The following is a 14,994-nucleotide window of genomic DNA, read 5'->3' as shown; positions in this document are numbered from 1 at the left end:
CAGCCCCTCTGGTTCGGACTATTTGGCACACCCCGGGAGATGATCAGGCTCCCTTCTGTCCAAGGGACGGGTCCTGCCTTGAGCCCCCAAAACCTTACTGTGGTTCCTGAAGCGCGTTGTTTCTGAAATCATCCTGTAGTCCCTCTTTAGGTTCCGTTTCGCTGCTGGGTAGGGGTGCCAGGTCACAGGAGAGCTGATCTCCCCCCCAGGCTGAAGTTCTCCCGGTGGCACCTGGGGTCACAGGTTTCCTGAGACCCTCGCTCCAGCCCCCAGAGGCAAAGGAGACAGTAAGCCTGCCGTCTCCAGTCCCTTCGTGGTTGCCAAAAATGTTGCGGTAAACTGAGGAACGGAAAAACCAATTTGCAGTACAGAAGGATTTGTTTATTTTAGGTACGCACCGGCTCAGAGGATTCACATCCAAAAGCTGAGCCCTGAACAAAGAGCAGTGTTTTTATAAACAGCCTTACAGGAGCAAAATAAAAGCAGTAGCAAAATAAAAGCAGTTAATCATACAGTAACAGGTCACGTAATCTATAGCATAACATAATTTGTGACCTAGCCAGTGGCCTTGTAGCTGCATTGAAAGAAAAACAAGAACTGGCTAAATACAGACATTTGTAAAACATAATCATGCTAATCATGCTTAAGAAGCCTGGGAAAAGAGTAACAGTAAAAGAACCTGTCTTTCTTTTTTTTCTTTCAAGCTTGCTCTGGAAGGGAGGGGGGTGTCTGGAGCCCATTCCTTTGGCCTTGGCTATTTGGACAGCGTTATCTTCTAACTGTCCTTAAAGTGAGCTGCTAGGCAAGAGGAAAACTTGTTCTTTTCTTTTTAGCCTTTGCCTTGCCATATTCTGGGCCTTAGCTTTTACTTTTCTTGGCGTGAATAAATGCAGTACTGATTATTATTATTATTATTATTTAAATTTCTGCCTCATGATAGCAAGTGAGTAAATGCCCCTAGTCAGTGTCTCTCTTGCACCGTCTGAGGCATAAAATGCCAATAAGGACAGTGCTGTCAGCCAGCAACAGAGACAGACATTGCTGCTGGCTGTGTGGCCAATTCCCTGGGGTAGGCCCTGGACACAGCTGCAAGTCAGGCTGATGCCGGAGCCCTGGGTGTCGGCTCGGGACTGGGCTTGGCTTGCCTGGTGGTGGATGCAAATGCTCAGAGTGCATAAAAGAAGGAGAACAGAAGACACTGCACCAATTTGGATGGTGGGGTCACATTTCCTCAGCCCGAGGAACATCCTGTGCACCCCATCATGTCCAACGATGGGCAGAGAGTTATCCTCAGGGGAATAGTTGGGCAAAAAATTGGAATGGGCAATTGAACTGAAACATGGGTTGTCTAAAACACGGGGAGATAGGCCAGGCGCAGTGGCTCATGCCTGTAATCCCAGCACTTTGGGAGGCCAAGGCAGGCAGATCATGAGGTCAGGAGATTGAGACCGTCTTGGTTAATGCAGTGAAACCCCGTCTCTACTAAAAATACAAAAAACAAATTAGCCATGCGTGGTGGCAGGTGCCTGTAGTCCCAGCTACTCGGGAGGCTGAGGCAGGAGAATCGCGTGAACCCGGGAGGCAGAGCTTGCAGTGAGCCGAGATTGGGCCACTGCACTCCAGCCTGGGAGACAGAGCGAAACTCTGTCTCAAAAACAAAAAAACAAAAAACACACACACAAAAAAAAACACGGGGAGATAAAGCCATAAAGGGCTGGCCTACATGCCTTCACGGGTGTGTGTGTGCCTGTGCGTGTGTGCGCATGTGTGTGCATATGTGTGCATGCGTGTGCTCACACTCAACATGAATGGGGCTAGAGGAGAGTCCCCACTAGACATTCCTCTAGTGGAATCTGGGGAGGAGAAGGCAGGGGCGATGCTGGAATGATGACTCTCTCTTTATATATATATATATATATATATATTTTTTTTTTTTTTTTTTTTTTTTTTTTTTTTGAGACGAAGTTTTGTTCTCGTTGCCCAGGCTGGAGTGCAATGGCACGATCTCGGCACACAGCAACCTCCGCCTCCCGGGTTCAAGCCATTCCCCTGCCTCAGCCTCCGGAGTAGCTGGGATTACAGGCATGCGCCACCACGCCCAGCTAATTTTGTATTTTTAGTAGAGGCAGGGTTTCTCCGTGTTGGTCAGGCTGGTCTCCAACTCCGGACCTCAGGTGATCCACCCACCTCGGTCTCCCAAAGTGCTGGGATTACAGGCGTGAGCCACTGCACCCGGCTACTTTTTTTCTTTTAAAGAGTAAGAAATCAAAATGAAAATAGGGCCCAATGGTGTGAGAACAGCAACAAAAAGGTAGAGAGTAACTGACCAAATGCAGACAGAAGGGAAGGAAGGAAGGAGAGGAGAGGAGAGGAGAGGAGAGGAGAGGAGAGGAGAGGAGAAGGGGAGGAGAAGGGGAGGAGAAGGGGAGGAAAGGAAAGAGGAAAGGAGGGAGGGGAAAGGGGAGGGACAGAGGGAAGGTAGGAAAGGAGGGAAGATAGGAAAGGAGGGAAAGAAGGAAGCAAAAGGCATGGGAATTGTGGTACAGGATGTACAGTGTAGAACAGGCGAAAGGAAACTACCGTATTGGTAATCCTCCGGAGCAGTTTACAGGTAAAGCAGCCTGGCGGGCTGTTGGCAGTGCCCAGTGCCGGTAGCAGTGGGAGGCTTTCGGGAAGGCCCAGAGCTCCCACAGGCCAGGGTGGTCAGAAGGCTGGGGCCGAGGAGGGCCTGCTGGTGTTGCTGTGACAAGGCACGGGCCCGGAGTCCTGTCCTTCATCCTGGCATCCTCTCAAGACAAAGCCCACCAGTGTTGACCCACCTGGACGTGGGGGATAGAGCACCTAAGGGCCTCTAAACACCCTGTCACCCCTAGAGACTCCTCCCCAGCCCTGCCTCCTTCTTGTCACGTCCCCAGCCTTCCACGTGGCCACGTGCACCTGGCACCTGGGACCAGTGGTCATTATCTTTCCCTGGAGCGTGGGGAGAAGCTCAGGTCAGGTGTAGGGCTGGAGAGGAGGCCTGTTTTGCGGCCTCTGCAGTGTGTGCCCCTGCATGCGTATGCGCGTGTGTGAGGATGGGGCACCTGCAAGCCCAGGACTGCCACCTGCAGCCACCCATCTTACCTGGTGTCTTTGCAAGGGGGAAGGGCTTGCCCGAGTCAAGGTGGAGCAGTGAGGCCCCTGCCTATTTTCACTGTTTCTGGACTCTTTTGCGGTAGCCTATGACCACGGGTGTGATCATTTCACACTTCTTTCATTTCTTTCACTTTTTTTTTTTTCGAGATGGAGTCTCACTCTGTGCCCCAGGGTGGAGTGCAGTGGTGCGATCTCGGCTCACTGCAACCTTTGCCACCCAGGTTCAAGCGATTCTCCTGCCTCAGCCTTCCGAGTAGCTGGGATTACTGCATGCCCAGCTAATTTTTGTATTTTTTTTTTTTTAGACGGAGTCTTGCTCTGTCGCTAGGCTGCAGTGGCGCAATCTCGGCTCATTGCAACCTCCACCTCCCAGGTTCAAGTGATTCCCCTGCCTCAGCCTCCCAAGTAGCTGGGACTACAGGCATGTGCCACCACACCTGGCTAATTTTTTGTATTTTAGTAGAGACAGGGTTTCACCACGTTGGCCAGGATGGTCTTGATCTCCTGACCTCATGATCCTTCTGCCTTGGTCTCCCAAAGTGCTGGGATCACAGGTGTGAGCCACCACACCCGGCCTTTGTATTTTTTTAGTAGAGACAGGGTTGCACCATGTCGGCCAAGCTGGTCTCTAACTCCTGACCTCAGGGGATCCACCCGCCTTGGCCTCCCAAAGTGCTAGGATTAGAGGTGTGAACCCAGCCTCATTTCTTTCACTTTTTAGCTTAAATCCCTCCTTTAACCTTGTCATACATCACTGCAGCTGTGAAATCGTAGCCTCGATGTCACAGCTACTTATTGATACACATTAAAATAAATACCTGGCTGTGGATATAAAGCCCATGTGTTCATATCTCACCTGAGTCACATCTGGTGTCCCCAGCACCACTCAGACCACCTGCTGGGCTGTTGTGGCCGTCAGAGTGGAGCAGAGCTGGGTTGGGTTCCAGTTCTGTTGCTCATCTGCTATGGGATTTTTCAGCCAGTCCTCACCCTTCTCTAAGCCTCAGTTTCCACACCTGGGAAGTGGAGGGCCCCTGGCAGGTAAGGTTACAGAGAGGCCAGTTCTCCCACTCCGCCTGCCTTGGAACTACTGTCAGTCACTCTGGAGGTCCCTGCCTCCACCAGAGAAGCCTGCAGAGTTGAAGGGGGTTGAACTATCCTTGCTGCAGAAGCCTCCTGAATTCTGCAGGAAGGGAAATGGCTGAGGGCAGGCTATTGGGTGCTCCCACAGCAAACTCCACAAAGGTACTGAGTACTTTAGGATCTGAAGGAAGAGGGAATATTTGTTTCCTTCACAGCCACAAAAGGACCTTTCCAAAAATAGCCACCTCTTAGGTCCAAGCAGAAATATCTGAGCCACGCTTGGAGGGTTAGTATTTTTTTTTTGGCATTATGATGATTCAACTTTTCAGAAAGAAAATCAAATGGAAAGTGCATGTCATACCTAGCAAGCCTTGTGAACAAGATTGGGCAAATTGCTTCCAAATTCTTAACATTCATAACCTTTGGTCTGGAGATACCAGTTCTAGAATTTGTTGTAAGGAAATAGTCAAGTATATGAAGATATCTGTATGTATGAGAATGCTCTTCCTAGCCGAAGTAGCAAAAATGGGATAAACATGGATGTCTAACAGTAGAGGAATGCTCAAATAATTACAAGGCAGCCATATGGTGAGAAGCACCAGGCAATCATTACCAAAAAGCAGAAGGGCTGCTGCCTGGGGAGGGGGTGGCAGGAGGGAAACACCCCAATGGGGTACGAGGAACTTTTGGGGGCGATGGATGTGTTCACTATGTTGGTTGTGGTCATGGTTTCCCAGGTATATACAGATGTCAAAACTTATCAAACTGTACACTCTAAATATGTATAGTTTACTATATATCAACTATATCTCAATAAATATGTTTTTTAAGAAACCATGCAGTTATTAAAAACCATGCTTCAGAAATATTTAATAAAATAGCAAATGATACGGAAATAACATCAAGTGAAAGGTGAGGGAAAATAATACAGGTTTTTGGAGAACAATTCGTCAATTTGCAGCAAATTTTTTTTTTTTTTGAGATGGAGTTTCACTCTGTCACCAGGCTGGAGTACAGTCCCACGATATTGGCTCACTGCAACCTCCACCACCTGGGTTCAAGTGATTCTCCTGCCTCAGCCTCCCAAGTAGCTGGGATTATAGGTGCCCGCCACCACACCTGGCTAATTTTTGTATTTTTAGTAGAGACTGGGTTTCACCATGTTGGTCAGGCTGGTCTCAAACTCCTGACCTCAGGTGATCCACATGCCTCAGCCTCCCAAAGTGCTGGGATTATAGGTGTGAGCCACCACGCCCAGCCAATTTGCAGCAAAATTTGAACTGTCCATAACCTTAGGCCCCCCAGTTTCCCGTCTGGGTCTTATCTTATCAAGTGAACAGTTTTAAAGATCTTGCCTGCAGCTCCTCGGTACCATTAGAGCCCAAATCCAAGCCAGACTCCACAGTTACCTACTAGGTCCTACCTGGGCTGGCCCCTCCAGGAACCCATCCCTGTCCTCCTTGCTTCCCCAGCACCTACAGCCGCACTGGCCTTGCTGTTCTGGGAATGAGCCAAGCTTCCTCCCACCTTGAGACCTTTGCACATGCAGCTCTCTCCGTCTGTGGTCTCTGTGTATGGAGGAGACTGTGCCTCCTGTCTTCAGTCTCTGCAAATGTCACCTCCCCACACTGGGCTAACTGCCCGACCAAATCCTTTCCTCCAGGTTGCCAGGGACACACACGGCACAACCTTGGGAAAAATCGAAGAAAGTTATGCATATTTCACGTCCGACACCAGAATAAAATCCACGTGGATCCAAGTTTTCTTTTTCTTCTTTCTTTTTATTTATTTATTTATTTTTTATTGATCATTCTTGGGTGTTTCTCGCAGAGGGGGATTTGGCAGGGTCATAGGACAATAATGGAGGGAAGGTCAGCAGATAAACAAGTGAACAAAGGTCTCTGGTTTTCCTAGGCAGAGGACCCTGAGGCCTTCCGCAGTGTTTGTGTCCCTGGGTACTTGAGATTAGGGAGTGGTGATGACTCTTAACGAGCATGCTGCCTTCAAGCATCTGTTTAACAAAGCACATCTTGCACCGCCCTTAATCCATTTAACCCTGAGTGGACACAGCACTCGTTTCAGAGAGCACAGGGTTGGGGGTAAGGTCACAGATCAACAGGATCCCAGGGCATAAGAATTTTTCTTAGTACAGAACAAAATGAAAAGTCTCCCATGTATACTTCTTTATACACAGACACGGCAACCATCCGATTTCTCAATCTTTTCCCCACCTTTCCCCCTTTTCTATTCCACAAAACCGCCATCGTCATCATGGCCCATTCTCAATGAGCTGTTGGGTACACCTCCCAGACGGGGTGGTGGCCTGGCAGAGGGGCTCCTCACTTCCCAGTAGGGGCGGCCGGGCAGAGGCGCCCCTCACCTCCCGGACGGGGCGGCTGGCCGGGCGGGGGGCTGACCCCGCCACCTCCCTCCCGGACGGGGTGGCTGCCCGGCGGAGAGGCTCCTCACTTCCCAAACGGGGTGGCTGCCGGGCGGAGGGGCTCCTCACTTCTCAGACGGGGCGGTTGCCAGGCAGAGGGTCTCCTCACTTCTCAGACGGGGCGGCCGGGCAGAGACGCTCCTCACCTCCCAGACGGGGTCGCGGCCGGGCAGAGGCGCTCCTCACATCCCAGATGGGGCGGCGGGGCAGAGGCGGTCCCCACATCTCAGACGATGGGCGGCCGGGCAGAGACGCTCTTCACTTCCTAGATGTGATGGCGGCCGGGAAGAGGTGTTCCTCACTTCCTAGATGGGATGGCGGCCGGGCTGAGACGCTCCTCACTTTCCAGACTGGGCAGCCAGGCAGAGGGGCTCCTCACATCCCAGACGATGGGCGGCCAGGCAGAGACGCTCCTCACTTCCCAGATGGGGTGGCGGCCGGGCAGAGGCTGCAATCTCCGCATTTTGGGAGGCCAAGGCAGGCGGCTGGGAGGTGGAGGTTGTAGCGAGCCGAGATCACGCCACTGCACTCCAGCCTGGGCACCATTGAGCACTGAGTGAACGAGACTCCCGTCTGCAATCCCGGCACCTCGGGAGGCCGAGGCTGGCGGATCACTCGCGGTTAGGAGCTGGAGACCGGCCCGGCCAACACAGCGAAATCCCGTCTCCACCAAAAAAAATACGAAAACCAGTCAGGCGTGCAGCGCGTGCCTGCAATCGCAGGCACTCGGCAGGCTGAGGCAGGAGAATCAGGCAGGGAGGTTGCAGTGAGCAGAGATGGCAGCAGTACAGTCCAGCTTCAGCTCAGCATCAGAGGGAGACCGTGGAAAGAGAGGCAGAGGGAGACCGTGGGGAGAGGGAGATGGGAGACGGGAGACGGGAGACGGGAGACGGGAGACGGGAGACGGGAGAGGGACTTTTTTTTTTTTTTTTGAGACAGAGTTTCACTCTTGTTTGCCCAGGCGGGAGTGCAATGGCATGATCTTGGCTCATGGCAACCTCCGCCTACCTGGTTCAAGCAATTCTCCTGCCTCAGCCTCCTGCGTAGCTGGGATTACAGGCATGTTCTACCATGCCTGGCTAATTTTGGGTTTTTTTTTTTTTTTTTTTTTTGTCTCGCTCTGTCCCCCATGCTGGAGTGCAATGGCGCAATCTCGGCTCACTGCAAGCTCCGCCTCCCGGGTTCACGTCATTCTCCTGCCTCAGCCTCCCGAGTAGCTGGGACTACAGGTGCCCACCACCACGCCCGGCTAATTTTCTGTATTTTTAGTAGAGACGGGGTTTCACTGTGTTAGCCAGGATGGTCTCGATCTCCTGACCTCGTGATATGCCCATCTCGGCCTCCCAAAGTGCTGGGATTACAGGCGTGAGCCACCGCGCCCGGCCTAGTTTTGTATTTTTAAGAGATGGGGTTTCTCCATGTTGGTCAGGCTGGTCTTGAACTCCCGACCTCAGTTGATCCACCCACCTCGGCCTCCCAAAGTGTTGGGATTACAGGCGTGAGCCACTGCACCTGGCCGGATCCAAGTTTTCAATGGAAAGCCTGAAAGCATAACAGTCCTAGAAGAGAATATGGGGAAGTTTGTTTTGAATCTTAGAGCAGGGACAATTTTATCTATGACTCAAAACTCAGACACCATAAAAGAATAAAGTGTTTGACTACAGAAAAAGTCTACATTAAAAAAAGCAAATGGGCTGAGCGTGGTGGCTCACACCTGTAATCTCAGCATTTTGGGAGGCTGAGGTGGATGGATCACTTGAGGTCAGGAGTTTGAGACCAGTCTGGCCAACATGGTGAAACCCGTCTCTACTAAAAATAACAAAAATTAGACAGGCGTGGTGGTGCATGCTTGTAGTTCCAGCCACTCAGGAGGCTGAGGCAGGAGAATCGCTTGAACCTGGGAAGTGGAGGTTACAGTGAGCTGAGATAATACCGCTGCACTCCAGCCTAGGTGACAAGAGTGAGACTCCATCTCAAAAAATAAATTAAATAATTTTAGAAAAAGCAAATAAAAAGACAAACTGGTTAGTTATTGGGGAAATGCAACTTGAAAGCATAATGAAACCCCCTTCACACCCACGAGGGTGGCTATAATCAAAGTTCCAGGTAATAAGTGTTGGTGAGGACGTGGAGGAAGTGGGGCCCTCATAGTGGCCCTGCTTTTGCTGGCGGGAATGTAAAATAGTACAGCCACTTTGGAAAACACTCTGGCAATTCCTGAAACAGGTTCCAGCAATTCCATTCCAAGAGAATTGGAAACACATGTCCCACAAAAAAACGTGTGCACAGACGTGTACAGCATCATTACTCATAATAACCAGAGTGGAAACAACCCAAACATCCATCCATAGCTGAAAGGAGACCTGAAATGTGGTCCGTCCACACAGTGGAATATTATTCAGCCATGAAAAGGAATGAAGTTCCGATACATACCACAACCTGGACGGAAGCATTACGCAGAGAAACCAGACACAAAAGATCCCATACTGTATGATTCCATCTGTATGAAATGTCCAGAATAGACAAATCGTTAGAGACTGAAAGTATATTAGTGGTTGCCCGGGGCTGGGAGAGTTGGGGGAAATGAGAAGTGATTTTGCTAATGGTACAGGGTTTCTTTTGGGGTAAGGAAAATTTTCTAAAATTGATTGTGATCATGTTGCACAATTATTTGAATATACTAAAAACAATTGAAATATACTTTAGAGGGTGAACTGTATCTCAATACTGTTGTTTTTAGGACACACTGGTAATAAATTTTTTTTAGCTCAATCTATAAAAAGAGCAACAGCCTAATAGAAAACTGGGCAAAGCATATGAGCAGTATACTGAAAAAGAAATACAAATGGCCCCCACATTTGTAAAAAGATGCTCAGTGATTGAGCCACTGCAATCCAGCCTGGCAACAGAGCAAGACTCCGTCTAAAAAAAAAAAAAAAGAAGATGCTCACCTTATTTATTTATTTATTTTTTTTGAGACAAGTTCTTGCTCTGTTGCCCAGGCTGGAGTGCAGTGGCACGATCACGGCTCACTGCAGCTTCAACCTCCAGGGCTCAGGTGATTCTCCTACCTCAGCCTCCCAGGTAGCTGAGACTACAAGTGCACACCACCACACCCAGCTAATTTTCGTAGAGATGGGGTCTTGCTATGTTGCCCAGGCTGGTCTCAAACTCCTGGGCTCAAGAGGACCTCCCGCCTCACCCACCCAAAGTGCTGGGATTACAGGTGAGAGCCACCGCGCCCGGCCTCAGGTTTACTTACAATGAAAATAATGCGCGTGCAAACTGCCCCCAAGATACCACTTTTCACTTCTCAGACAGAGGAATGTCCACATTTCGGCAGGCACTCTGGTCAGGCCTGTGCAAACCCTCACACCTGGGCAAGGGGACTACGGAACAGGACAATCCCCACGAGGAGATGTGATGGTTACTCTGATGTGTCAGCCTGATGGGGCGACAGGGTGCCGAGATATTTGGTCAAACATGATCCTGGGTGTGCCTGTGAGGCTGTTTCTGAATGAGATGAACATTGAAATCCACAGACTGAGGAGAGCAGAGGGCCCTGCTACCTCGGATGGGCTCCATCCAGTCAGTTGACGGTCTAAGTGGAACCAAAGGCTGATCTTCCCCCAAGCAAGAGGGAATTCCTGCTGCCTGACTGCTTTGGAAGGGGGACATGGCTCTTTCCCTGCATCTGCTCTCCTGGGTTTCTAGCAGCCAACTGCAGATCTTGGGACTGTCAGCCTGCATAATTTAGGGAGTCATTTCTCAATTCCTTACCATAAATCTCAGTCTCTCTCTCCCCACCTTCCCATCTCGTGTGTGTGTGTGTGTGTGTGTGTGTGTGTGTGTGTGTGTGTGCATATGTACACATATATCCCATAGGATTTGTTTCTCTTGAGGTCTTCACTAATACAGAGGGCAACTCGGTGAAGGACGTCAACACTGTCTGTACACATGGCCTTGACTCAGCAATCACAATTCTGGGAATCCACCCAAGGGATGAGGCCTACAGGTGAAAACATGACCTTTGTACAGTTATTCATTGCAACAATGTTTATAGGAGCAAAAGACTGGGAAGACTCTTGTGTCACAGGGAACAAATGATTGTGGTAAGATAAATCCTTATGATGGAGCACTTTGTCCCTTTAGGCAGCATATATAAATAAAGTTAATGAACCTTAATGGAAATGAGCACCCAGACACAGAAGTAGATTCTAAAATGCAAGCACAGAGCACGGGTGATAGCGTGCTCCCTTTACCATAAGAAAAGAAGCAAACACATACAGGCACTCGTTTTTGCTTATATTTTCATAAGTAAATTCTGATGGATACACGAGAGACCATGTGTCATACAGGCCAGGGATGGGAGTAAGACTTTTCTCTAGATACTTTTTTCTTTCTTTTTTCTTTTTGAGACAGACTTGCTCTGCCACCCAGGCTGGAGTATAATAGCGCCACCTCGCCTTACTGCAACCTCTGCTGCCTGAGTTCAAGCTATCCTCACACCTCATCCTCCTGAGTAGTTAGGACTACAGGACTACAGGCGAGCACCACTACGCCCAGCTAACTTTTGTAATTTTTTGTGGAGATGGGGTTTTGCCATGTTGCCCAGGCTGGTATCCAACTGCTGCTCAAGTGATCTGTCCACCTTGGTGTCCCAAAGTGCTGGGATTACAGACGTGAGCCACCGCACGTGGCCTCTAGATACTTTTTAATTTTGATCTGGTATTTGAACCATAGTAATGATCCCAATATATCCTCTTCTCAGAAAATAAAATATCCCCTCCTCACCCACCTCCGGTGTATTGGTTCATTGCCCTTGCAGGCCCAAGCCCCGCGATGGTGGAATGTGTCTGTTTGTTCCCGACTGCACACACTCCCTGCACCTAGGAGAGGCCTGGAGTTTAGCAGGTGCACACAGGGGCTGAAGGGTTGGATAGAGAAAAGCTGGAATCAAACTAAAAACAACAGAGAATGCTTGAAATAAACGAAGGCGCATTCCAGCTGTGAGTGGTACATCTATTATGCAGTCAGGAAGGAAGCAGGTCCCTTCCAGGCGCGGTGGCTTACGCCTGTAATCCCAGCACTTTGGGAGGCCAAGGTGGGCGGATTACGTGAGGTCGGGAGTTCAAGACCAGCCTGACTAACATGGCGAAACCCCATCTCTACTAAAAATACGAAATTAGCCGGGTGTGGTGGCGCATGCCTGTACTCCCAGCTACTTGGGAGGCTGAGGCAGGAGAATCGTTTGAACCTGGGAGGCGGAGGTTTCAGTGAGCTGAGATCGTGCCACTGCACTCTAGCCTGGGCAACAAGAGACTCCGTCTCAAGAAAAAAAAAAAAAAAAAGAAACAAGCAGGTCTAGGCCAAGCAATTTCCAAACTCACTGTTAAGTGGGGGAAAGCCCGTTCTAGAACTGTATCTACAACCCCATCTGCTTTACATTAAAGCGACTCCTAAATAAAACTATGTATTTCTAGATATATATACGGTACATAAAATGCGAAAAAGACTGGGAGAATACACAGCCGACTCACAACTGTGCTTACTTCCAGAGGGGGAGTGGAAGGGTGTGGGAGGGAGAGGGGCCACGGGGCTTCGCTGTTCAGTTTCGGTGTCTTCTCAAGAGATTGTATTTATTACTCGAGGAAAACAACGTTTATAAATATAAATGTTAAAAAATAACGAGCAGAAACGCTTATATACCAAGTGACTTCCATTTTGTTAGCGCGCACAAAAAGAGTTGAGAAAACTATATGGAAAGTAGCACAGACCAAAAACAGGAAGCAGAGCGGCATGCTAATCAGGCAACAAGATTCCAGGCGATTTTAATAAGCGTTTTGTTTTACAGGTCAGTGTTTCCTGTTTTTCCACAAGGAATGCTTCTAATAAAGGGGGCTTGGAGCAGTCAGCCCGGGGAGTGAACTCTCGCTCCAGAACGGACGGGGTGGGCCGGGAGCCCCTGGGGACGCTGGGCCGGGCCGGGGGCGGGTCCGCCGGGGCTGGGCTGCAGGGTGGACCGAGAACACCCGGAGCAGGAAAAAGTGCTCGGTGCTGAGCGCCGGCAGGCGACCGGGGGTGCTCGCGCAGCGCGCTCGGTCCTCCCTCCGGGTCTCGGGGCTCTGCGCAGCTCCGGGAAGCGCACCGGGCAGCGGGCGGCCATCCCTGCTCCGTCTCTCCCCACCCCCAGTCCCAGCCCGGCGTCGGGCAAAGAGGCAATTTCACACTCTGGAGGGGCGACTGAGGGGTTCACGCCAATGCCCGCTGGTCCCTCCTGCAGTCTAACTTCTTCCACCCGGGCGCAGCCTGGGTCAACCTCCACCTTCAGCTATCGCCCCGGCCGTGGGGGGCCTCTCCTGCCAGCCGCCGCCGACCCAGCTGACTCAGGAGGGTATTCGCGCGCTCACCGAGGACGCCCTCCCCACTCGCCCCTGCGCCTCCTCGTCTGCAAAAGAGGAGCCGAGGATCCCAGCACTTTGGGAAGCCGAGGCGGGCGGATCACGAGGTCAGGAGTTCGAGACCAGCCTGGCCAATATGGTGAAACCCCGTCTCTACTAAAAATACAAACATTAGCCGGGTGTAGTGGCGAGCGTCTGTAATCCCAGCTACTCAGGAGGCTGAGGCAGGAGATTCGCTTGAACCGGGGAGGCAGAGGTTGCAGTGAGCCGAGATCATGCCATTGTGCTCCAGCCTGGGCGACAGAGCGAGACTCCATCATAAATAAATAAACAAACAAACAAATAAATAAATAAATAAAAAGAGGAGCCGAGGGAGAGCCTGGGACGGAACTGGGGCTCTCCATGGGCGCTTAGAGGAGCTGAGGAAGGCGGGGGACACCCGCACGCCCCCTCCCTAGCCTCCGCCAGCTCCTTCCCAGAGGGAAGGACCCGCGGCTGCGCGGGCGCCCTGGAACTAGACTGCGCCCTGGACCCCCAGCCCCTCTGCGGTCCTGCGCGGGCGCCGGGGCCGGCAGGGGAGGGGGCTGCAGCGCCTGGACTGGCCATGGAATTATGTTGCATGAAAAACAAAGAAAGCAGCGCTATTCGGCCGGTCGGCCGCTCCCTCCCCACCTCCCCCGACCCTGGGCCTTAGAGGAGGGTCACTTCCTCCTCCCCACCGGTCCCTACCGCCAGAATACCCCAACTCTTCTTTCCTCCGTCCGAAACCTGTGACTTCAAGGAAACAATTAGCTTCTCCGGCAGCCAATGAGCGCCCAGCCAATTCCCCATTTTTCCAATGCACAAACGTTTTGGGGGGTTGGAGACGCCCAGGACCCCAGAAACAGGACAATCGCAGTTTCGGACTGGAGCGGCGAGGGGGGAGAGACGGGTGGGTCTTAGACAAGGAAGAAGCCTCACTGCAAGCACAGCGGAGGAAGGCATTATGTCTATTTGGGGTAATGGGGGGACGCAAGTGACCTCCGAGTGGACCTTGAAGGCTGAGTGGGAATCTTCCAGAAGGGAAAGGAGACAGCCATTGGGTTATATTTCAGGATCAAGGTCAGCGTGGGAGGTCCGGGCACCCACACCCACCTCCCAGGCAGACTGAAAGTGCTGTACTGTGCGCATCTGTCCTATCATGAATGGACGCATCCAATGTGGTCTGTCCGGACAAACAGAGTACTATTCAGCTATACAAAGGAGTGAAACACCGACCCAGGCTACAACATTGGTGAACCCTGAAGACATGATACTCAGTGAAAAAAGGCAGTCACCAACGACCACATGTTGTAGGATCCCATTCCTATGAAATGTGCAAAATAGGCAAATCCATATGTGAATTTGACAAAAAGTGGACTGGTGGCTGCCCCGGGTGGGGAACATGGGGAGAAAGGCTGCTAATGGGTTGAGTGTTTTGTTTAGGGGAAAATGTTTAGGAAATTAGATTGTGGTGGTGGTTGCACAACCCTGTGTATATACCAAAATCGATTGAATTGTACACTTGAAAACAGTGAACTTTATGGTATGTGAGTCAAATCTCAGTAGATTAAAAAAAAGAGAGCTTAGCAGGGCCAGGCGCAGTGGCTCACACCTGCAATCCCAGCACTTTGGGAGGCCGAGGCGGGTGGATCACCTGAGGTCAGGAGTTCGAGACCAGCTTAGCTAAAATGGCAAAACCTCATCTCCACTAAAAATACACAAATGGCCAGACACAGTGGCTCACACCTGTAATCCCAGCACTTTAGGAGGCCAAGGTGGGTGGATCACCTGAGGTTGGGAGTTCGAGACCAGCCTGACCAACATGGAGAAACCCCTTCTCTACTAAAAATACAAAATTAGCCAGGCATGGTGATACATACCTGTTATCCCAGTTACTCGGGAGGCTGAGGCAGA

General features: G+C 50.9%; 1 long non-coding RNA gene across 1 annotated transcript, besides 1 other annotated feature; it reads right to left on the bottom strand.

Moving 5' to 3' along the window:
• Positions 1–8,111: 8,111 nt before the first annotated feature.
• Positions 8,112–14,994, bottom strand: LOC124902700 (uncharacterized). Its single transcript, XR_007062752.1, has 3 exons — positions 14,961–14,994; positions 9,092–9,158; positions 8,112–8,217 (listed from the first exon to the last, which is right to left on the bottom strand). It is a non-coding gene; the product is annotated as an uncharacterized LOC124902700 (long non-coding RNA).
• Positions 12,711–12,770: a silencer, noted in NCBI's record as "silent region_3685". NCBI's record gives its function as "represses an Ori minimal core promoter by ATAC-STARR-seq in GM12878 lymphoblastoid cells {active_cell/tissue: GM12878}" and the evidence as "EXISTENCE:reporter gene assay evidence [ECO:0000049][PMID:35858748]".

Source organism: Homo sapiens, chromosome 11, assembly GCF_000001405.40.
Source record: "Homo sapiens chromosome 11, GRCh38.p14 Primary Assembly".
In the NCBI taxonomy this organism is placed as follows: Eukaryota; Metazoa; Chordata; class Mammalia; order Primates; family Hominidae; genus Homo; species Homo sapiens.
This window is presented reverse-complemented; position numbering and strand designations above follow the sequence as displayed.